We start from the raw sequence: 21,618 nt of genomic DNA, 5'->3' as shown, positions 1-21,618 counted from the left end.
CTCTTGTGAGAAGAGAGCTCTTTGTCCAGGGCGGCAGGCCAGTTCTGAGCAGGGACGCTTTATTAAAGTGCTGGTGCTGGCAGGGAGGCACGTCCCGACGGGCGCCTGGACACATCCTCCCTGCTCCCTCCTCCAGCCCCACGGCCCCTGCGGCCGGGCCAGCTGGGCCTGCATCTGCAGGTGGCACCATGGGCAGTGTTTTCCTCGCTTCAAGGGAAGTGAGTCCGGGCAGTGGTTCTGGGTTGGATAACGCCCTGGTCAGGCCTCCCTGTGGGTACCCGGTCCAGGGCCTGCCCTGCTCCTATGTCCCTGCCCAGGCAGACGAGCACCCCACAGTGCTCCAGAGAGAACCAGGCCAAGGCCCTCTGCCCACCAGGGACATCTCTAACTCCTGAGGTCTTGCAGTGCATCCAGATTGCAGGCCCCCCAGGGCTCTCAGGCCTTACTGTGTGTGTGCTCAAAATGCAGACCTCCAGTCCTGATTCTTCAGCAGCAGGTCTGGGGGAGCCCAGGAACCTGCGCCCTGCCACAGGCTCTCTAACCACCGAGGTGCCCGGGCTGTGGTCTTGCCACATTTCCCAACTCGTGAGGACTAAAGGGCCCGGGTGACTTCGACGCTGGAGGGCCCACTGGTTATGCGTGTGGAGCGCCCTGGGCCAGGCCCTCAAAGGCAGGCAGCATCTCCCCGTGCTGCCCCTCCCACTGTCGCCCCTGGGAAAACCCAGCCACCCGCAGGGAACTGCCCACAGGGAGCCACCCTTCGCTCAGCCCCACACGCTCAGGAAAGCCCCGAATGCCAGGCAGGACCTAGAATGGCTGGACCTACCCACAGGTCTCCAATCTCCCGGATGTTGCTGCGGTACCGCTGGCAGTCATGCAGCACCTGCAGCGCAGGGAATACGGGAGTGGGGGAGTGTCCAGGACCGTGTGGCAGGGCCCTGAGACACGCACTCCCCACCCGAGGCGGGAGGAACAGCCCGGAGCTACGGGGACAGGAACAGGGCCAGAGCCCGCATGTCCGCGGGACAGTGCCCCAGCTCCGGGGAGCAGAGGCAGCAGCTGCTACTCACATTGGGGTGCCCGTCTCGAAGGACCTTGTGGAGGACGTGGCAGAACTTCCAGCTGAGAATGGAGCTGCTGGGCAGCGGCAGCCCAATGGCGTAGGACCAGAAGGTGAAAGCCCCCTTCTCGTGGTGTGTGCCCAGAATGATGCCTGCAATGTCAAGGCCAAGTGTGGAAGCAGAGACTGGAGCACGGGGGCTCAGCAAACCCGGCTGAGAGAGGCCAGGGCCGCCGGAAGAGGGCCGGCCCCCAATCACGTGCCCATCAACCCCGGGTCACCAGAGCTCCAGTGTCCAGCCAAGGGGACAGGAGTTAGGGCAAGACAAGGAAATCATTGGGCCCAATGGGGGCGTTTTTGTGATGAGACTGAGATGGGAAGGAGCCAAGCTGCACAGGACCCTCCTCCCCGGGCTCAGTGAGGGAACTTGTGACCCCGGCACAGCTGACCGCAGGCCACCTGCAGCACTACGCTGCTCCCACATCCACACCCAACTCCTGGGTCCAAGAGCCGGCCAAGGATACGCCGGGCGTGCTTCTCCTTCACGGGGGCCTCCTGGGTGTTGATGGCTTTGCTGATGCTGATGGCCTGTGAGGGACAAAGGAGCAGTGTTTAGAGCCCCAGGCAGCCACCCCAGGAGACACCACCCCAAGGGGGAGAAGCACAATACTGAACAGGATTCTGCCTGGGTTCAAGGCCAGTGGAGCGATGGGGGAGACAGGAATCCCCTCAACCTAAGCTTCTGAAGGACTTCCCTGTGCCTGATCGGTGCAGCTGGAACTACAGTGAACACCAAGAGCTCCAGGAGTCAGGGGACAAGGACCAAAGCTGGGCTATGGCTCCGGGAGGCCATCCTGCCCAAAACCTGCACGACTTGACTCTCCTGGCAGATGTGGTGCCCTGAGCCCCAGGTCATGGCCCAGTGTGGTGTCCTCCGGCCCCATCTCCCCTTGGGGAAAAGCAGCTGAGACTGGAGCCCCCGGCTGGGGCCCACCTGGCCTTTGCGGCACCCCATGAAGGGTGCACATCACATTGTCCCCACTCTCCTGGGAGGCATTCCCAGGAAACTTAGGCAAAGCCCAGGGCCTGTGGCCCACTGCCCCATAGGCTGCCCCTCTCCTGGGTGGGGCCTCACCCTGTCAAACTGTGTCAAGCTCCTGCTGCCACCTGCAGCCCAGCCAGGGGCGGAGGAAGGCAGGAGTGGGGTCTGCAGCTGTCACCCGGAGCTGCGCAAGTGGCACCTTCACACTTGACCAAGGCCAGAATCTCAGCATCCCTCCCGCTCCACCTATGGCAGTCTCACCCCTCCCCCCCCGCCCCGGCTACTGCCTCCTTTTCCGAGTAGGCTTCCTGGACGTGACTGTGCTCTCGAGGAGGGCTCACGGCGGTACCATCACTACAACCCGGCCCTGGCTCCGTGGGGCATGGGGTATTTCTCATGCAGGGAACAGGTCTGCTAAACCTCTGTCCCCCACCACCAATGTTTGTGACCTGAGAAGAGCTGTCCAGGCCATGGGCGGGAGGGACAGGGCCTCGACAGATGCAGACACTGAGATGGGACACGCAGCCCCCAGCCTCAGCCAGGGCAGCTGGGCTCCTGAGCCACAGGCTGGCCTAAGCCAGGCAGGCCTTGAAGGGCAGGGAGCCGGCTTGCAGGACAGTGCAGCGCTCCTGCGCCTTCTCCCCAGACACCACTGCACTCTCCCACCCAACACCGGAGCAGAGGACATCCAATTAGGGTCTACTGTGGAATTTCCTCTGTGAGAAAAGCCAGCCCGGGAAGCTGGGGGGCCCTACCTGGTGGGACCTCAGATGGGAGCTAGGGGACTGCGGGGCTGGGCCAGGCAGCCTCTGGGCCGCCCCCGGCCCCTAGCACGATGCTGACCCCCTTTCACACACAGGGCCCATTGTACTGGACCCTCCCAGGCAGGTGTCCTGGGGCTGCCCTGAGCCCTGCTCCCTGTAGTCGGGGAGGAGCTGCGGTCCCATCTCAAGGAACCACGACCTGAGGAAATGCACAGAGGCTCTGGTGGGCCTGATCCTGAGGGCTGCCCAGCCAGTGGCCCCCAGGCCTCAGCTCCTTCCTTGAACAAACTCGTATCCACCAACTGTGAGAAGCCATGGCTGAGAGTGTCATGCCCCCAGAGGCAGAATATTGCTCACGACAGCAGCTATGATGATAAGGATCCTGAGTGCCCAGCCCCAGCCAGGCATGGGCAACTCGCCTCCCAGCAACAGCCCAGGGAAGTGGTGACTAACCCATTTTCCTGGTGAGGAAACTGAGGCACAGAAGGCTTATATACTTGTCTGTACAGCTAATAAGGATAAAGGCAGTGTTCAAAGCCAGGTCTGTCTGATTCCACAACCTGTGTCCTTAGTGACTCTGAACAGCCCCCAGGCAGTTCCTCCCGTGGGGAGGGGCTCCCAGGGCAGGAGGCAGGGGCTGTGACTTTCCCCAGCTCACTGGCAAGCAGCTGTCCTGTCACAAGCCAGGCGTGTCCGTCTCCGGGGTGTGTAACCCCATCCCCAGCTGCCGACACCTGAGCTGCCACCTGGTTCGGAAGATTCCTGGCAAGAAGGGTGGAGGCGAAGTGACTGGTGCAGACCTGGCACCAGAGAGGCTGTAGACACAGAGATGCGGGGGTTTCTCCTGACACTGAGGAAACCCCGGGATGGGGCTGAGATAGGGACCCTAGAAGCAGAGAACACATTCTGGGGGAATGGGCTGCCCTCTCCTCTTTGCGAGGAAAGACACAGTGAGGCCAAGGTGCAGCCACCCGTGTCCCCAGGCCCTAGGCTCCAGATGCCCACTCAGCAGAGCTCCAGCTCCCCGCACCCGGCACCCTCACACCCTCCTGCAGCCGCCCTGTTGAAATCTGCACCTTCTGGATGGATGGTCTCTGAGGGCCGGGCACCCTCAGACAGTGGAGTGTTTCCTTATTTATCACCCTCTCCCCTCACCCAGCAGTCAGCAACACGAGGGGAAGCAGATCGGCCTATAGGTGCTGCTGAACCCCCAGCTCCTCAACAGTGCCTGGCATGCAAATGACTTTCATGGCAGGAGGGAGGCCCCAGGAATGCAGTGTGACGGGGCATGCCTTGGGCACATGGCATGGTCTCCTGTGCGCCTGGGCCTCAGTGCTGCCTGCTCCCCGCGCTGGCGGCAGGGGACAGGATCCGTGGCAGCAGGGCCCTCCCGGGCAGGGTGCCGGCTGGCTCTGGGAACACAGCCCCGTTGTGTCTAGGATGGGCAGATGTGTGCACCAGGCTCAGAGCGCCACACAAGGAGGCACAGTGCTCGCACAGTGGGAGTCTGTGGCTGCTCCGTGGGCCTCGCCTCTGACCAGGCAGTAGCAGCTAAGCCCTGTCCCGGGAGAAGCCCGCCAGGTCCCAGTGATGTCCCACCTACTCCCGTCTGCTGCTGACCCTCCCTTGCGGAAGTGGCTCCAGGGTTCTGAGGGCCGCAGCAGCAGGCACTCGGGCTCACTCTGTGGTGAGACCCACACGGTGTCCTTGACGCAGCTCCGCTCTGAGGCTTACAGTCCCGAGGCAGGTCCAACTGCCAGCAATACTTGGTTCTGGGTCCTGAGGTTCTCAACATGCTGTCCTCACAGCTGCCGAGTGGGGTGAACGTAGTTCTCCCCATTTTGAAGGTGGGGAAACTGCAGCGTGCCATGGGAGGTAGAGGGCTGCCCAGGCCTGTCCCTGGGTTCTCTAGCCTGCATTTGTGCCCCATGTGGCCCCTCGGGCAGAACAACCCCAGCAGCTCTGACACAGGCCAGAGGCTGGCTGGTCAGCTGCCAGAGACACCCCTTCAGGGCAGCGCAGCCTTTGAGGAGTGGAAGGGATTGATTATGGACCTCAGCTCAGGGTGGAAAAACCCAGTGCTAGAGAAAGGAAGATCATAAGGACACATGTGACCGCCCCGGGGTCTGTCCGCTACTCAGCACCCACAGCTCCCATCCAGCTCCCAAGAGGCAGGGGCCTCACACACAGCCTGGCAGGGCAGTTTCCACACAGCTGTGAGTGGCTGTGGGACCAGGGCTCTGCAGGGGATGCAGTGATAATGTGCAGCATGAGAGCATGAGGAGGAGGATGCTGTTCTTCCCACTGCTGGGCACAACAGGGAGGGGTGTCTGGCTGGGTCAGGGGAGGTCTCTGGAGGAAGCAGGACAGAAGTGATAATGGAGGGGGACCAGGCACAGTGGCGCACGCCTATAATCCCAGCACTTTGGGAGGCTGAGGTGGGAGATCACTTGAGCCCAGGAGTTCAAGGCCAGCCTAGCAAGACCCCATCTCTACCAAAAATAATTTAAAACTTAGCCGGGTGTAGTGGTGCACGGCTGTAGTCCCCTGCTACTTAGAAGGCTGAGAATGGCTTGGGTCCAGGAGTTCCAGGCTGCAGTGAGCCATGATAGCACCACTGCACTGCAGCCTGGGTAACAGAGTGAGAACCTGCCTCTAAAAAGTAAAAATAATAGGCCAGGTGTGGTGGCTCATGCCTGTAATCCCAGCACTTTGGGAGACCGAGGCAGGTGGATCACTTGAGGTCAGGAGTTTGAGACCAGCCTGGCCAACATGGCGAAACTCCCACTAAAAATACAAAAATTAGCCGGGCATGGTGGTGTGTGCCTGTAATCCCAGTTACTCAGGAAGCTGAGGCAGAGAATCGCTTGAACCTGGGAGGCTGCAGTGACCAAGATCATGCCACTGCACTCCAGCCTGGGCAACAGAGCTAAACTCCATCTCAAACAAAACAAAACAATAATAGAGAGTTCCACAGCGCCGTGAGACACCTTGCAGAAGGGAGTTGGAGGGTCCGCAGAGACAGCAGAGAGGGGCAGAAGCAGAGTGAGGTCAGCTCCTGCCTGGTTCCACAGACCCTGCAGCTTTTCGGGTCTCGAAAAATCCTCGGAGTCCACACCCACGCCCCAGGGGCCACCTGCTCACAACTCTCTGAGCCTGCTCTTATCCTGCCCAGTGCTGGCAGCAGGAGGGGCCTGACCTTTAAGGACAGAGAGTGGGGACAAAGCTCAGGGGCACCCAGGGGCCCAGGGGGCAGGTGAGGCTCTGCAGATACACTCAGGATAGCTGGCATCGCCAAGTGTGTAAGAACATACTCTATGCCATAAGGCCAGCAGACAGGTCTCAATAACCTATTAATAAATTCAATTTTATTGAGCTCAGCCTTGTACTGGGCCCCCGAGCAGACAGCATTGTTCCAGTGTTGCCTCATTAATGTTCACAAGGAACCTCGGAGCAGGTGGGCAAGGGAGGACATTGAGGCTGCAGGTTAACCACCTGTCCAAGGTCATAAATAACAAAAAGATGTGGGCCAGACATGGACCAGAGATGGAGATGGAGCCCCTCAGGCCCCTCCCAGGCGGCCCTGGGCTGCATGGCCTTCACAGTTCAGGGTGCGGGCTAGGCCTGGGTGTGGGAGAAGTGTGTCAGCATAGACATCCTTATCGTCCCACCACAGGAGCCCCACTCCCCAAGGGCCTGCTAACATGCCTCCAAATTGCGAGTGGGCTCCGGATCAGGATTTGTTCAAATCTCAAGTTAACGAAGGCCTTGGGGCTGGCAGAGCCAAGGGCCCTTCCCACTACCCCCATCCCTTGGGGCGAGGGCATCTGCCTCTGGGCTGCGGCCTTCAGCTCAGTCCAGTGGCCAGGGGGAGCCCAAGCCCTCAGGATACACCTGCCCTGCTTCCAGGAACAATCAGGCCAGACAGAGCCCGCTGACTCGTGAGCAGCCCAGAGCTGCACTGGTCCCTGGACTGAGACTCATGGGGCACACCCCAGCGAGCATCTCAGTGAGTGCTGCCTCAGAAGAGGGGAGATCAGGGTGAGGCAGGGGACGCTCCCGAGAGGCTGCTGGCCCAGGCCTGATGTGGAGTCCAGATGGAAACAGACCGCAGGAATGGGCACTGTCAGCAAAGCCAGGCAACTGAGCTGGGAGGCTCCAGGCAGCGGCTGCCCCACACGCCAACCCCGCGGCACCCTGTGGCCCAGGAGGCTCCGGAGTTGTCTGTCCACCGATCATACTCTGTCCCCACCTCCAACCCCCGAATACAGGGACATCTTCCTTCCTGCTGTATCTCTAGGCCCAAACCAACATCTGGCTGTCAGCAAATCCCCACTGGGCAAATGGAAGGGTGAACACTCGAAGGACAAGAGCTCTTTCAAAGACAAGTACTGGACGACTTCAGGGCACTGAGTCTCTCCTTCTCCAGCTAATAATTTATCCACTAGAGCTGCAGAGTAAAAGTAATTATAAAACAATTTCTATTTTTAAAATCAACGCTGAAATGAATCAGACGTAAGCCTCCCTGTGCTGTATTATCGTGGCACCTAACAGCAGCACTTGGCAGGGACAAGAACGTTCTTCAAAGAGCTGGGGCACACGGACGGACGCTGGCAGAGCGGTAGGTTATTTTGCTTTAACATTTCCAAAGAGTTGGTTGAAGGACAGAGAGATCTCATTCAAATGCGTCTGTCCCCTCAAAGGCCATTGACAGAGCAAACACAGGGTTTCTGTAGCTGAGGAGGCCGGGATATGGCCACACGCAAAGCAGCGAGGCGGACAGCTGGGTCAGCTCCAGCAGACAGGAAGTCAGGGGCAACTGCTCCGCTCCATTTAACCTGTATCTCCCCTCACTCTCACCCAGGCCTGCTTGGTCCTGGCCACTCCGTCATTTCAGCGTTTAGGAAAGCTCCCGAGGGGAGCATGAGAGCCCAGGTTCCCCAGGACACTGGTTACAATGTTGCCGCCTGACCCACTGCCACCTCCGCCCCAGGCTTTGTGGGTGACACCCAGTAGTAGGAGGACTGTTCCTGCGTCACCCCTCTGCCAGGCTGGCTCTGGAAGTGACAGGCAGCCAGGTCGTGCAGTTTCATTCCCTGGGCCCTGGTGACATCACTCCACAAACCCGTCTGTCCCAAAAGCCAGGAGCCTGAGTCACCTCCAAGCAGATGAACCTACTGCAGTTTGAGGATCATGTTTATTTTAGCCAGAGAAAAAACAATCTCGCCCCAAATAAACTTTTCTCCAGGCCTCAGTCATTCCCTAGAATGGATGGCCATGAGCCTTTCAGACCTCACCAAGAAGACAGCATCAAAGAAGGGAGACCACTGGCCCCTGAGCATCCACTCATCCAGCCACTTACGACGCGGCCCTGCCTGATGACCCCAGGGTAGGTGGCTGGTGCAGGTCTGAGCAGTTGCTCAGGGAACTCGGCAAGGAGATGACACACTCCCACTTCTCAGGCGAGCCTGGTCTACACATGCGCCCACCCCATGTCTGTCTGCTTCCTCCCGCTCTGCTGGGCCAGCCACAGCGTGTCAGGGCAGATGTGGAAGCAGCGCAAATAATGTCATGAGGACTGGGCAGCACAGAGAGGCTTGGGCAGGAGGACGGCAGCGGGTGGCTGCACAGAGGAGGTGATATTCAAGTTAGCATCGCAGATTACCAAGTTGGGCGGGGAGGGGGCGGGTAAGGGCATTGCCAACAGAGCAGCCAAGGCGTCTCAGGTTAGCCGGCTGGGTATCCCTGTCCCTTGGCCAAGCAGGCCTGGACTCCACTCAGAGGCTTTCCACTTTAAGCTGCTGGGATCCAGTGGCCAGCTGGGTTTCATTCGCGAATGACCGGTGCAGCGCTGGCTGGGAGGCTGGCTTCTGGATCAGGTCAGAGAAGGGGCCTCGTCTGCGCCTGTCCCTATTCAGAGGGTGAGCAGTTCTGCCAGGCAAGGCTCCTGCTGGCTTTGTCTGCACCTCCTGAGGCTGTCGTCCCCCAGAATATCCTCCCAACCCTGGAGAGCCTTCATAATGTGGCACCTCTGGGCTCACTCTTCCAGGGAAGGGCTGTCCCCACCTGCCTGAGTCCCCCCAACCTCTGTGCAGATCCACTTTTCTCCCCAACCGCCCCAGCACACAAGGCCTCCGCTTACAGCTAATCTAAGGGCACCGGGCAGAGCTCAACAGGGAGCTTGTTTCTCTCTTTCAGCCCAGCCTGCTCTTCTGAACACAACATAACAGCCAACACTTACACGGCATTCACTACACACCAGGCACTATGAACACCTGTAAATTTCTTCACAACCACTCCAGGAGGTGTGTAGTATTATTGCCCCCATTTTGTAGATAAGGAAACTGAGGCAGAGTGGTGAAGGGACAGAGCCAGGGGCTGAACCTGGAGCTTGCTCTTGACTGCCCTACCATTCCACACGTGGCCACAGTTGGCATCTCTCCACCTCTTAGAGGGTACAAAGATGACTCGGACCTTCCTGGGGCACACCCCAAAGCTACAGGAACAGGCCAAATGGTAAGACAGCAAGCGGCGCTCAGGAATGTGTCATGGGCATCAAAACACATCAGAGACAGGGAGGGGGAGGTCAAGGATGGGTGGCCCCTTCCCACCCCAACCTGGACCAAGAACAGCCTCTGGAATAGCTCTGCCAGGGAGGCAATATGCAGCCCAGGGGTCGGGAAGTCAGCGGCCTGCCGGGCATCACCACGAGGGCATCACCATGTGGGCTGATGGGGTGGAACCGAGCAGAGGATGTCACGGGGCGAGACAGCAGTGCGCATGCCCAGGAACAACGAGCTCAACGCCCATGCCATGCTGCGGGCAAATCACTCCTATACACGTAAATGTTGCCCTTTTCTAAAAGCCACCAGGTGATTCTAACACTTGCATTGTCCGGCACGGTAGCCGCTGGCCGGTGCGGGCTGTGAGTATTGGAAAGGTGGTGAGTCCAGACTGAGATCAGCTGTGAGTGTCCAGTGCATACCTATTTCAAAGATTTAGTAGGAGAAAAAGAATGTAAATTCTCCTATTCATAATTTTTGTGGCAATTACATGTTGAAAGGGCTAGCTTTTGGATATACTGGGTTAAATAAAATATGCTATTACAGTTAATCGCACCTGTTTCTGTTGACTTTTCTAGTAGTTACTAGACAATCTAAAAGTACACACGTGGCTTGCCTCTGGTTCCTCCTGGACAACACTGCTCTACTGTGTGCCGGGGCTGAGAAGCCCTCAGTTGTCAATAAATGTTAATCTTGACAGGATTTTGGTTTCACGGGGGATGCTAAGCATGTATGTCACCAACCTGGAAAATTGGACCTATGAACTGTTTCCACATATTGCTGCCCTAGACAGTCCCTGCCCCACAGGAACCCCTTACACCTGGGTAGTTTCATGTCTACAGTTAATGCTCACCCGCCAGACTTGGCTCACTCAGCAGTGGCCAGAGGCCTTGCAGTGTAGTAAAGGGTTTCTCTCATCCTAACCTGAGAGGAATCTTCTGGGCTTGATCTCCATCCTGTGGGCCTGCAGTGGAAACTGAGGCCCAGTGAAGCAGAAAGGTTCACAGATCAGGAAAAGGCAGGACTCACCATTAGCATTTCCAGTACTCCTAACTGAGTCCTTCTTCATGATATGCTTCAAAGATGCTTTCTTCTCTAGATGTTAAACTTTTCAGCCGAGGAAGGGAAGGGAGAAAGACGGTTGGGCCAAGTATCTGCTGAGGCCCTTCTATGCCCTAGGTGCTCTTTCATGTTTACATACTGGATGTATTAGTTCCTTATGGCTGCCATAACAAATCACACAAACTCGCAGTTCTGGAGGTCGGAAGTCTAAAACAGGTCTCACAGGACTAAAAGCAAAGTGTCAGAAAGGCTGTGTTTCCTCCTGGAGGCTCTAGGGAAGAATCCATTTCCTCGCCTTTTCCAGGCTGTGGAGGATGCCCATACTCCTTGGCTAGTGGCTCCTCCCCAGCAGCAGGCAGTGAGTCTTTCTCACATGGACTCAGTCCGACCTCCTCTCCTGCCTCCCTTGTCCACATTTAAAGACCTTTGTGATTACACTGAGCCCACCTGGTAGCCCAGGAGAATCGCCCCATCTCAAGGACCATCTCAGCTGATGAAAAACTCTAATTCCACCTGCAACGCCTTACTAAGTCATTAACGTAGTCACAGGTTCTAGCTGCCACACGGTCTCTCTCTTACACCTTACAACAGCCCTATACGATAGCTGGAACGATCTGTATGGTTTTTTTTTCAGACAAGGACATAGATTTACAAGTTAAGCAACTTGCCAGGGACACAGGCTAGAGCCTAGGTCTATCTACCTACTAGTGCCTTTATGATACCACACCCTCTTTTTAAATGGTACAGGCAGTGTTCAGGTTCCAAATACAGGCATGCTGTATTTTGTAGTATTCTGTATTCAGAAAACAGCAACAAGACAATAAAAGTTTGTCACCTCCATTTTGAAAAGGATTTTTTTTTTTTTTAACCAAAGGGACTAAAGTCATAGGGAAGAAAAGCATACACTGGTTTTCTGGACATTCCCCTGGGATTATACACACACACCATGCAACAATCACAGGCACCAGCTCCCAGCAGGCACATGATCGCCTCTCTTCACACTCCTGAGCGCTAACCCCACAGATATTTGCAAACAGGGTGTGTCCTGTCAAAAAAGCTCACAGGAAAGCAATTATCTTCCTCCTGACCCAGGAGCCCAGGGGAGGAAAGCGAGGCTGGCAGGCTAGTGAATATTTAAATTCTAAGCCAGCCTAGTGCTCCTGCCACAGCACACAGTGCTGTGGTCAATGCAAGACAAGCAGCGTATTACAAAGGAAGCCAGGTCCCTGGACTGCATGTGCTATTTTCTGTCCCGAAGGAGACATGGAAGTAACAACCTCAGCTCTCCAGGTCCTTTTCCACCACGGGACCTGGCTGGCGGCTCACCTGATTATTTCTGGGAACGATCTAATTAAATATTAACCACGTACAAAACCTCATTCTTACATTCCTCAATAAGTCACTGTGAAGACGAGCAAACCCAGACAATGAACTCAAACTCCAACTTTCCAGAAAATGGGGCCCTAGAATAGGTAAGACCTGTGACATTCACCCATTACAAAGTTATTCATTGTTAGTGGCCCTCTTAGCCTCTGAGAAAAAACCAGAGCAAAACAAAACAAAACAATCCACCTTCGGAGAGGTGCCTGTAATCCCAACATCTCGGGAGGCCGAGGTGAGGCGGGTGGATCGCCTGAGGTCAGGAGTTCGAGACCAGCCTGTCCAACATGGTGAAACACCTTCTCTACTGCAAACACAAAAATTAGCCAGGTGTGGTGGCGCACGCTTGTAGTCCCAGCCACTTGGGAGGCTGAGGCAGGAGAATCACTTGAACCCGGGAGGCGGAGGTTGCAGCGAGCTGAGATCATGCCATTGCACTCCAGCCTGGGCAACGAGAGAGACTCTGTCTTTAAAAAAAAAAAAAAAAAATCCACCTTCTTGTGTATCAAACCAACCACTAAAATGTGTGGTCCTGTATCAGAGATTCTCTCTTTGACACTCAGGAAGGTTGCCCTTGACTTCTTATCATTTAAGAGTAAGATCAATGAAGTTGGTCCTTCACATCCCATCTCCTCCATGTAGCAATCAGACCTCTTTATACGTCCTCAAAGGCACGAGAAAAAACTCAGTGAATAAACAAAGTTTCTGACAACATCCAGATATGTCTGCCAATTCAGGTTTTCTCCCTATGATCTACAAGTTCTTGGCACAATTAATTATGTATTGGTGACTTTAAATTTTTTTAAAATGACGGGCTATCCGGGCTGAACCAGTTGATGGTGATGAAGATCACAAGGCTAAATTGGTAATTTGCAGCCACCTGGGTTCCAGCACTTCGCATTTCTAAAGCCTTGATATCCTCAGGATTTATTATCGCTTTCTGGGTCAATCCCAAGCACAAAGGTTAGAAGGTCTCCCTGCGTTCTCTCTCATTTCAAAACGAAAGCTGTTGTAGAGTGCGTGTGCTAACTAGATGTGAAGGCAACCGCAGAAGTCATAGCTCTCTGCAAGGACAAGTGGGACGGAACTTGCAAATAGCCGCCACAAACGCAAATGTCACCAACCTGCTTTAGACAGGAGTGGGAGGGGTCCTCTGGCTTCCTTTATCTCTAGAGTAAAATTTTTCAGCCATTTCAGTCTTGGTTGACTTATTTTGGCAAATAAACAAGTATGCCCCCCTCCACCGCCCATCCCCCAAGCCTGAGAGCACTTCAAGAGTTTGTAAAATAAAAAGCAACAGGAAACCAGAAACGCAGCAACGTCTGCATCGTGGGTCCCCGGCACAAACACAAGTACAAAACGCACACCCGCGCCCTTATTTCATTTCTAACGCCTTCCCAGGATAGGCATCATCTGGAAGAGTTACAAGCGTGGGAGGCGCAGGAAGGGAGCCCCAGGAAGTTTCTGTCTGTCGGGCGCCGGTATTTAATGAGGGGGTGTGCACCTATTTATACGTGGGCAGCGCTCGGGCAAACAAGTCTGGCGACATACGAGAAGCTTTTCACCCAGCAAATAATAGGAGACTGTGCAGCCCTGGGAAACCGCTCACGAGAGAAGGAAGCTGGGAGTTTAAGGAATTTCCTTTAAGGAAATTGCCCGTGGGGGCATCGGTTTCAGGGGGTAGGAGACGGGGGCAGGAGCCGGCAAGGAGCGGCACGGAAGGTCGGGGACCCCAGTCGGGCCGCGCCGGCCCCGGGAGCACCTGGATCCCCAGCCCCCTCGACCCCCGGCGCGCTGGGCTCGCGCACACCCAACCCCGGCCCCATCTCCGTCCCCCGCCGCCTCAGCTCCGGCGCTCCCGGCCCGCGCACACCCTGACCCCGGCCCCCTCAGCCCCGGCGCCTCTGGGCCCGAGCGCCCGGCGGGAGCGGGGAGCGCGGCTTCCGGTTCACCTGCGCGCCGGTCGGCTCGGGCCGCGGAGGCCGGCGGGGGGCGGCAGCGGAGCTCTCGGAGAGCCCGGGCGGACACAGGCCCTGCCCCCGCGCCGTCCCCCGCCCCTGGCCGGCGCCTCCCGGGCCCCAGCCGTTCGCGCGTGAGGGGTCAGGGACGCCGCTTGCCCGCCCGCCCGCCGCCGCCCGCCGCCCGCCGCCCGCCGCCCGCTCGCCTGGGTCTTGTCGAACTGCTCGCGCTCGGCCTCCAGGCTGTGGCCCGGCCTGCGGCTCAGCACCCGCGCCGGCACGTTCTTGATGCTGTTCATCCTGCCGCCGCCGCCCGCTTTTGTCCGGCTCCGTCCGCGCGACTCACAGCCTCACGGTCCGGCAGCCCCAGCCTAGGCACCGCGAGGCCACCGCGCCGCGCCCGGGCCCGCCCGCCGGGGAGGAGCCCGCCTCGCCCCGCCCCCAACTCCAGGGCACGCCCCTCCCCCGCACACCTCCAAACCCGCCCCCCGCGCCCGCAAACGCCTCGCCCGCCCCCAACTCCAGGGCGCGCCCCTCCACCCGCACACCTCCAACCCCACCCCCCGCGATCTCGGGACACGCGCCTCTCCCCGCACATCCCCAACCCCCCATCCCGCGGCGACCCCGGCACACGCCCCGCCCCCCGCACACCTCCAACCCCCACCTCACTCACAAGGTTGGGGCACAGGCCAAACGCCCCCCCAGCTCCTCCCCACCTCTAATCCCCTCCCTAAACCCGGAGGGGAGGGTAGGGGAAGGGGGAGGGGGAACCCCTCCCTCCTCCTTCCACCCAGGGTAGGGACCCCAGCCAATTCCCTCTCCCCACCCCTCCTCCGAACTCACTAAGTCTTGTCTGCACCAGGGCAAGATCTGGTTAATTGGAGAAAATCTGGCCTCCATGAGTCTGGTCGGTGGCAGCACAGATAGACGCTTTTTTTCCTTTTTGGTCTTAATGTATGTGTCAAAAGGCACACAATGACACTCTCCCCTCTTTGTGCAATTCTGACATAGCTGCAGCTGTTATCCATGCGGGGATGCAGGATGCATTTCCAGAGACGCCGCCGGCTCCGCAACCGGACACCTCGCCAGCTCCAGGGACAATGGGGGCTGAGGCCGGGCGCTGTTAGGCTGGCACAGAAGGCAGGCGGATCTGAACAGCAAAGTACACCGAGGAGATGCCGCCAGGGGTGGCGTGAGGCTTTTTAAAAACATTATTATTGGCTTTCCCTTAAAATTACTGGTCACAAGACTGAAGTAAAAAAATAAATAAAAGCCCAGAGTCCTCTCTAAGCGTAGCTCTCAGATGGGTATTGTGTTTCTGCTGTTTCCCTTTCCTATCGGAATGCAGATGTGGAATCATGCATAAAGGTCCCTTGCTTTTGAAGGGAGAGGCACCGCCTGCCTGTAAGGAGGAAAATGACGCCCACGTAATCCTGACCCTTGTCTCCCTAGTGAGACTGTAACCTGTCTGAGGTCAGAGACCCTTTCCTTTCCTTTCCTTTCCTTTCCTTTCCCTTTCCCTTTCCTTTCCTTCCTCCTTCTTTTCTTTCTTTTCTCTCTTTCTCTCTCTTCTTTCTTTCTCTTTCTTTCTTTCTTTTCTTTTCTTCTCTTTCTTTCTTTTCTTTTTTTTTAACCGAGCTTCACTCTTGTTGCCTAGGCTGGAGTGCAATGGCACAATCTCACCTCACCGCAACCTCCGCCTCCTGGGTTCAAGCAATTCTCCTGCCTCAGCCTCCCAAATAGCTGGAATTACAGGCATGTGCCACCACGCCTGGCTAATTTTGTATTTTTAGTAGAGACAGAGTTTCTCCGTGTTGGTCAGGCTGGTCTCGAACTCCCGACCTCAGGTGATCCGCCCGCCTCGGCCTCCCAAAGTGTTGGGATTACAGGCGTGAGCCACCACACCCCGCCAGGGACCCTTTTCTTTAACTGATTCCTCACCCTCCAGCCCAAGAGCTAGAGCTGACCCCAAAAGATAACATTTGCCAAGACTCTCCTGTCACTGCACCAAAAGGAGAAATTAATCCTGTTTTCTCTAATTCCAATCACTAAAAAGCTTCTTTATCAGAATAACGGTAGAATCACAATAGCTGATATGTACTGAATGCTTATTATTTGGCAGGCACTGGGCTAAACCCTTCATATGTAACTTAGTCAACTTAGTTGATAGCTGTGCTCTAATAAAGACCACAGTAAAGGGGCTTTTTGCGGTACTCCAGCTGTTTCTCACACTCCTTTTTCCACACGGAACAAAAGTGGTTCTCCTGTGACCCTTCACGCATATACAGCATCCCTTTTCAACCAGGCAACAGCCCCTGTAGGTCTAGCACATCTGCCACAGAGACTTCCCATTAGCAACTGGCTTTTTAAATAATCACAGAGCCTATTACTGTGCCGGGCACCAGGCTCAGCATCTGTTAAACAGTATCTCACTTATTCTTCTTTAAAGTTGTTGATGAGGCTCGGCACAGTGGCTCACGCCTGTATTCCGAGCACTTTGGGAGGCTGAGGCAGGTGGATCACTTGAGCTCAGGAGTTCGAAACCATTCTGGGCAACATGGTGAAACCCCATCTCTACCAAAAAATACGAAAAACTTAGCTGGCCGTGATGGCGTGCCTGTAGTCCCAGCTACCCAGGAGGCTGAGGTGGGAGGATCACTTAGGCCTGCAAGGCAGAGGTTGCAGTAAGCTGAGATCATGCCACTGCACTCCAGCCTAGACAACAGAGTGAAACCTTCTCTCAAAATAAATAAATAAAAAATAAAGCATCAACAACTTTATTTTTATTTATTTATTTTTTTTGAGACAGGGTCTGGCTTCGTTACCCAGGCCGGAATGCAGTGGCATAATCATAGCTCACTGCAATTTCTGCCTCCTGGGCTCAAGTGATCCTCCCACCTCAGCCTTCTAAGTAGCTGGAACTGGAGGGATGCACTATCATGCCCAGCTAATTTTTTTTTTTTTTTGAGATGGAGTCTCACTCTGCCACCAGGCTGGAGTGCAGTGGCACGATCTTGGCTCACTGCAACCTCTGCCTCCCGGGTTCAAGCAATTCTCCTGCCTCAGCCTCCCAAGTAGCTGGGACTACAGGCGCCCGCCACCACGCCCAGCTAATTTTTGTATTTTTAGTAGAGACAGAGTTTCACCATGTTGGCCAGGATGGTCTCGATCTCTTGACCTCGTGATCTACCCACCTCGGCTTCCCAAAGTCCTGGGATTACAGGCATGAGCCACTGCGCCTGGCCATGCCCAGCTAATTTTTAAAGTTTTTTTGTAGAGACAGAGTCTTGCTAAGTTGTCCAGGCTGGTCTCAAATTCCCGGGCTCAAGTGAATTCGCCCACCTTGAAAGTACTGGGATTACAGGCCGAAGCCACTGCACCTGGCCTCTTGATGGTATTTTTTACAGACCAACAAACAAGCTCAGGTTCAGAGAGTTTAGCCCAGGTTCACACAACTGGTAAACGCTGCATTCGGGATCCAGACCCAGATGTGCCTGATTTCAAGGCCAGTGCCCGCAACACCCATGCCATTTGGACTACATTTTGTGGTCTATGACTTTCAGTACTATACTACCTCAGGCTTGCTGTTTAGGACCTGAGAGCACTCTCCTAACACATCTCTAAGGGATTGTACTTTATGTGCTTGTAGGTAAGATTTTGAGCTATTAGAGGGCCACCCTGTATTACTCAGTTTTATGTACTCAGTGCCTAGCAGGGCACCTGGCACATAGCAATGTTCAATATGTATGTCAAATGAAGGGCTGAAAGAGTGAGTAAACAAATACCTCATTTGGTATACTTCAACATACAGCTGATCTCACGAAAGAGTATCACTGAGGACATAAGGATACAAACTTCCCCAATCTTTTGTTTGTTTGTTTTTGTTTTTGAGACAGGGTTGCCCTCTGTCACCCAGGCTGGAGTGCAGTGGCATGATCTCAGCTCACAGCAACCTTCGCTTCCTGGGTTCCAGCAATTCTCCTGCCTCAGCCTCCTGAGTAGCTGAGATTACAGGCGTGCGCCACCACAGCCTGGCTAATTTTTGTATTTTTTGTAGAGACAGGGTTTCACCATGTTGGTCAAGCTGGTCTTGAACTCCCAACCTCAGGTGATCCACCTGCCTCGACCTCCCAAAGTGTTGGGATTACAGGCGTGAGCCACTGTGCCTGGCCCAAACTTCCCCACTCTTAATTTTTCTGGTTCATCTCTCTAACATCTTCAGGCAGGAGGCCTGGTCTACTATTGTCCCTGTCACTGACTGGCTTTTTTTTTGGCGGGGGGGATACGGGGTCTTGCTTGCTCTGTTACCCCTGCTGGAGTGCAGTGGCTGGATTATGGCTCATTGCAGCCTCAACCTCCTGGGCTCAAATGATCCTCCCACCTCAGCCTCCAGAATAGCTGGGACCACAGGTGTGCACCACCATGCCTGGCTAATTTTTAAATTTTTTGTAGAGACGGGGGTCTCACCACGTTGCCCAGACTGGTCTTGAACTCCTGGACTCAAGCAATCCTCCCACCTTAGCCTCCCAAAGTGCTGGCATTACAGGCAGGAGCCACTGCTCCCGGCCTGAGATTCTTCATGCCATCAGAATCAGGGTTCTGTTTTGGTGTATCTCGAGGGCTGTTGAATTCCTGCTCACCCCTATTACAAAAGCAAAGCAATTGGAATACAAATAAGACCTCGTTTTAAGGAAAATCCAAGATGCACAGGAGAGTTTACATCATCTGGCCCACTAAAACATGGTATGCTACCACACCCACACTGACTCATCGACTCGTATGCATGATCTGGCCCCAGCCTCTGTCCCTGGCTTCATCTTGCACCATCCTGGCCCATCAGGTCCCAGATGCGTCATGTTCCCTCCCACCTCAGAGCCTTTGCACATGCTGTTCCTACTGCCTGGAATTCTCTTCTGCTTCCCGTTCGCCCTACTTAGCATCCACTTGTCTTTAACTCTTGGCTCAGATGTCACTTCTTTAAGGAAGCATTCTCTTAACACTCCACCCTTCACCTGAGTCCCTATTATAAGCTGTCATCATATCTCAAAGCTTTCTTTTGTAGCACTAACCAGTCTCTTGTGAACTATGTATGGGATTCTTAGATTAGTGTGTTTCTACGACTAGATTGTCTGCTTTGCTCATTGTTGTGTCTCCAGTGGCCAGCAAAGCACCTACTGTGTGCTCAAAATTCTTTGATTTTTTGTTGGGTTTCTTTTTGTTGTTGTTGTGGTTGGGTTTCTTAAGCATGCATCTGGCTGAGAACCCAGACATCATCCTTTAAAGAACTGATTCATGTACACTTTTCATTCAATCAACTTCTCTCAAAGACCATTCTGGGTGTTTTTTGTTTGTTTGTTTGTTTGTTTGAGACAGAGTCTGGCTCTGTTGCCCAGGCTGGAGGCATGGCTCAATCTCAGCACACTGCAACCTCTGCCTCCCAGGTTGAAGTGATTCTTGTGCCTCAGCCTCCTGAGTAGCTGGGATTACAGGCACCCACCACCACGCCCAGCTAATTTTTGTATTTTTAGTAGAGAGGTGTTTCGCCATGTTGGCCAGGCTGGTCTCGAACTCCTGATCTCAAATGATGTGCGAGCTTTGGCCTCTCTAAGTGCTGGGATTACACGCGTGGGCCACTGCACCTGGCCCCATTCTGGTTTTTAAACCTCCTTGTCAGCTGCAGTCTTGATGAATGTGTCTGGTTTCTTATTTTGATCCTGTTCACTCTGTTCTCTATCACACTGGAGGTTGCTAAGATTATTCTGTTGAAGGCCTAGAATAATGAACTTTCCTGCAATGTGTCCTAACAAAATCATCATCAAATGGCTCAAGAGAAACAAAAGTACAACACTGCAAACCCACCACCCCAGCTACAGGTGTCAAACCACACAAAGCCACAGGAGAAAACTCCAGGATCAGTTTGCCAGACCATAACAAGGATTCAGTCTTCAGTCTCCTTCCTGGAAGGTATGGAGCCAACCTTATCCCACACAGCCAAGAAGTTCTAGACGCATTCTCTTGGCACTTTTGGGGTAAAGCTGCTTTTAGTGTTTATGTTTTATCTTAATTCAGAACTTTTTTTCTTTGGGGGTATTTCTATTTCTGTTTTTAAATATCTGTTGGCCGGGCGCGGGGGCTCACACCTGTAACCCCAGCACTTTGGGAGGCTGAGGTGGGCGGATCACCTGAGGTCAGGAGTTCGAGACCAGCCTGGCCAACATGGTGAAACCCCGTCTCTACTAAAAATACAAAAATTAGCCTGGCATGGTGGCAGGTGCCTGTAATCCCAGCTATTCGGGAGGCAGAAGAATCTCTTGAATCTGGGAGATGGAGGTTGCAGTGAGCTGACATCGTGCCACCGCACTTCAGCCTGGGTGACAGAGTGAGACTCCATCTAAAGAAAAAAAAATTAGGCATGGTGGCACGTGCCTGGAGTCCTCGCTAATTGGGAGGCTGAAGCAGGAGAATCACTTGAGCCCAAGAGTTTGAGGCTACAGTGAGCTATGATGATACCACTGCCCTCCAGGCTGGGTGACAGAGTGAGACCCTGTCACTAAAAATAAAATTAAAAAAAAAATCCATTCACAGATTCTAAAAATACCCTTATATCAGTCTTTTCCAATGCTGAGATTACTTCTGGCAGGCAGATTGTAGTATAATTCATTTGCCTCCTCTTCAGATGTGTTGATCTTAAGAATGTTGCTGATAAGACATAAATGCTAAAATCTAGTTTTATCTTGTAACTATTTCAAATACTCTATGAGACTGCCTCTGTGCATCCATTAAAGTATAGAAAAAAAAAGGAGACTGCCTCTCTAACAGAAATTGCTCAAAGCTTAGGTCAGGGGTATCTGCACTCCACGTTCACTGCAGCACTGCTCACAACAGCCAAGATGTGGAAGCAACCTAAATGCCCATCAACAGATGAGTGGATAAAGAAATGTGGTGGCTCACGCCTGTAATCCCAGCACTTTGGGAGGCTGAGTTGGGAGGATCACATTAGGCCAGGAGTTCAACACCAGCCTGGCCAACATGACGAAACCCCGTCTCTACTAAAAAAACAAAAAGTTAGCCAGGAGTGGTGGTGGGCACCTGTAATCCTAGCTTCTCAGGAGACTGAGGCAGGAGAATTGCTTGAACTCGGGAGGTGGAGGTTGCAGTGAGCTGGAATTGAGCCACTGCACTCCAGCCTGGGCAACAGAGTGAGACTCGGTCTCAAAAAAAAAAAAGTAGTATATATATACATAATGGAATACTATTTAGCCATAAAAACAAACGAAATCCTGTCATTTAAATGACTCAGTTTGGGCCAGGTGCAGTGGCTTACATCTGTAATCCCAGCACTTTGGGAGGCCGAGAAGGTGGATCACAAGGTCAGAAGTTCAAGACCAGCCTTGCCAATATGGTGAAACCCCGTCTCTACTAAAAATACAAAATTTAGCTGGGCATGGTGGCGCACACCTGTAGTCCCAGCTACTCGGGAGGCTGAGGCAGGAGAATCACTTGAACCTGAAAGGCGGAGGTTGCAGTGAGCTGAGATCACGCCACTGCACTCCAGCCTGGGCGACAGAGAGAGACTCTGTCTCAAAAAAATAAATAAATAAATAAATAAATAAATAAATAACTTCGGTTGAGCTAGATGCATTGCTAACATTAAATTTCTCATTCTTTTTTTTTTTTTTTTTTTTTTTTTGAGACGGGACCTCACTCTGTCACCCAAGCTGGAGTGCAGTGGTACGATCTTGGCTCATTGCAACCTCCACCTCCTGGGTTCAAGCAATTCTCCTGCCTC

General features: G+C 54.2%; 1 protein-coding gene and 1 long non-coding RNA gene across 4 annotated transcripts in view, besides 5 other annotated features; one reads left to right on the top strand and one right to left on the bottom strand.

Moving 5' to 3' along the window:
* The window catches only part of HIP1R (huntingtin interacting protein 1 related), a 28,214-nt gene extending 13,283 nt beyond the window's left edge, over positions 1-14,931 (bottom strand). For 2 of the 3 annotated variants that reach the window (NM_003959.3, NM_001303097.2), the window contains exons 1-4: positions 14,036-14,222; positions 1,585-1,648; positions 1,071-1,213; positions 827-883 (exon numbers count right to left, since the gene is read on the bottom strand). In NM_003959.3, the coding sequence (NP_003950.1) occupies positions 827-883; positions 1,071-1,213; positions 1,585-1,648; positions 14,036-14,128 (357 nt within the window). In that variant the 5' untranslated portion in view covers positions 14,129-14,222. Of the gene's footprint in view, positions 1-826; positions 884-1,070; positions 1,214-1,584; positions 1,649-14,035; positions 14,223-14,672 lie in introns of those variants that run through there. The other variant, NM_001303099.2, reaches the window with a different exon arrangement.
* Positions 3,466-4,297: an enhancer, noted in NCBI's record as "H3K27ac-H3K4me1 hESC enhancer chr12:123329929-123330760 (GRCh37/hg19 assembly coordinates)". NCBI's record gives its function as "activates a minimal SCP1, AML or CMV promoter by ChIP-STARR-seq in primed H9 embryonic stem cells {active_cell/tissue: H9 hESC(primed)}" and the evidence as "EXISTENCE:reporter gene assay evidence [ECO:0000049][PMID:30033119]".
* Positions 13,711-13,910: a silencer, noted in NCBI's record as "silent region_5023". NCBI's record gives its function as "represses an Ori minimal core promoter by ATAC-STARR-seq in GM12878 lymphoblastoid cells {active_cell/tissue: GM12878}" and the evidence as "EXISTENCE:reporter gene assay evidence [ECO:0000049][PMID:35858748]".
* Positions 14,081-14,320: a silencer, noted in NCBI's record as "silent region_5022". NCBI's record gives its function as "represses an Ori minimal core promoter by ATAC-STARR-seq in GM12878 lymphoblastoid cells {active_cell/tissue: GM12878}" and the evidence as "EXISTENCE:reporter gene assay evidence [ECO:0000049][PMID:35858748]".
* On the top strand, positions 14,446-15,124 carry LOC124903040 (uncharacterized). The gene is made up of 2 exons (XR_007063501.1): positions 14,446-14,505; positions 14,841-15,124. It is a non-coding gene; the product is annotated as an uncharacterized LOC124903040 (long non-coding RNA).
* Positions 14,571-14,620: an enhancer, noted in NCBI's record as "active region_7239". NCBI's record gives its function as "activates an Ori minimal core promoter by ATAC-STARR-seq in GM12878 lymphoblastoid cells {active_cell/tissue: GM12878}" and the evidence as "EXISTENCE:reporter gene assay evidence [ECO:0000049][PMID:35858748]".
* Positions 19,791-19,991: a silencer, noted in NCBI's record as "peak2024 fragment used in MPRA reporter construct". NCBI's record gives its function as "represses an SCP1 promoter by STARR-seq MPRAs in K562 erythroleukemia cells {active_cell/tissue: K562}" and the evidence as "EXISTENCE:reporter gene assay evidence [ECO:0000049][PMID:32103011]".

The sequence above is a fragment of the Homo sapiens genome, chromosome 12 (assembly GCF_000001405.40).
Source record: "Homo sapiens chromosome 12, GRCh38.p14 Primary Assembly".
NCBI classification, from domain to species: Eukaryota; Metazoa; Chordata; class Mammalia; order Primates; family Hominidae; genus Homo; species Homo sapiens.
Note: the sequence above shows the minus strand (reverse complement) of the source record. Positions and strands in the feature narration are given on the sequence as shown.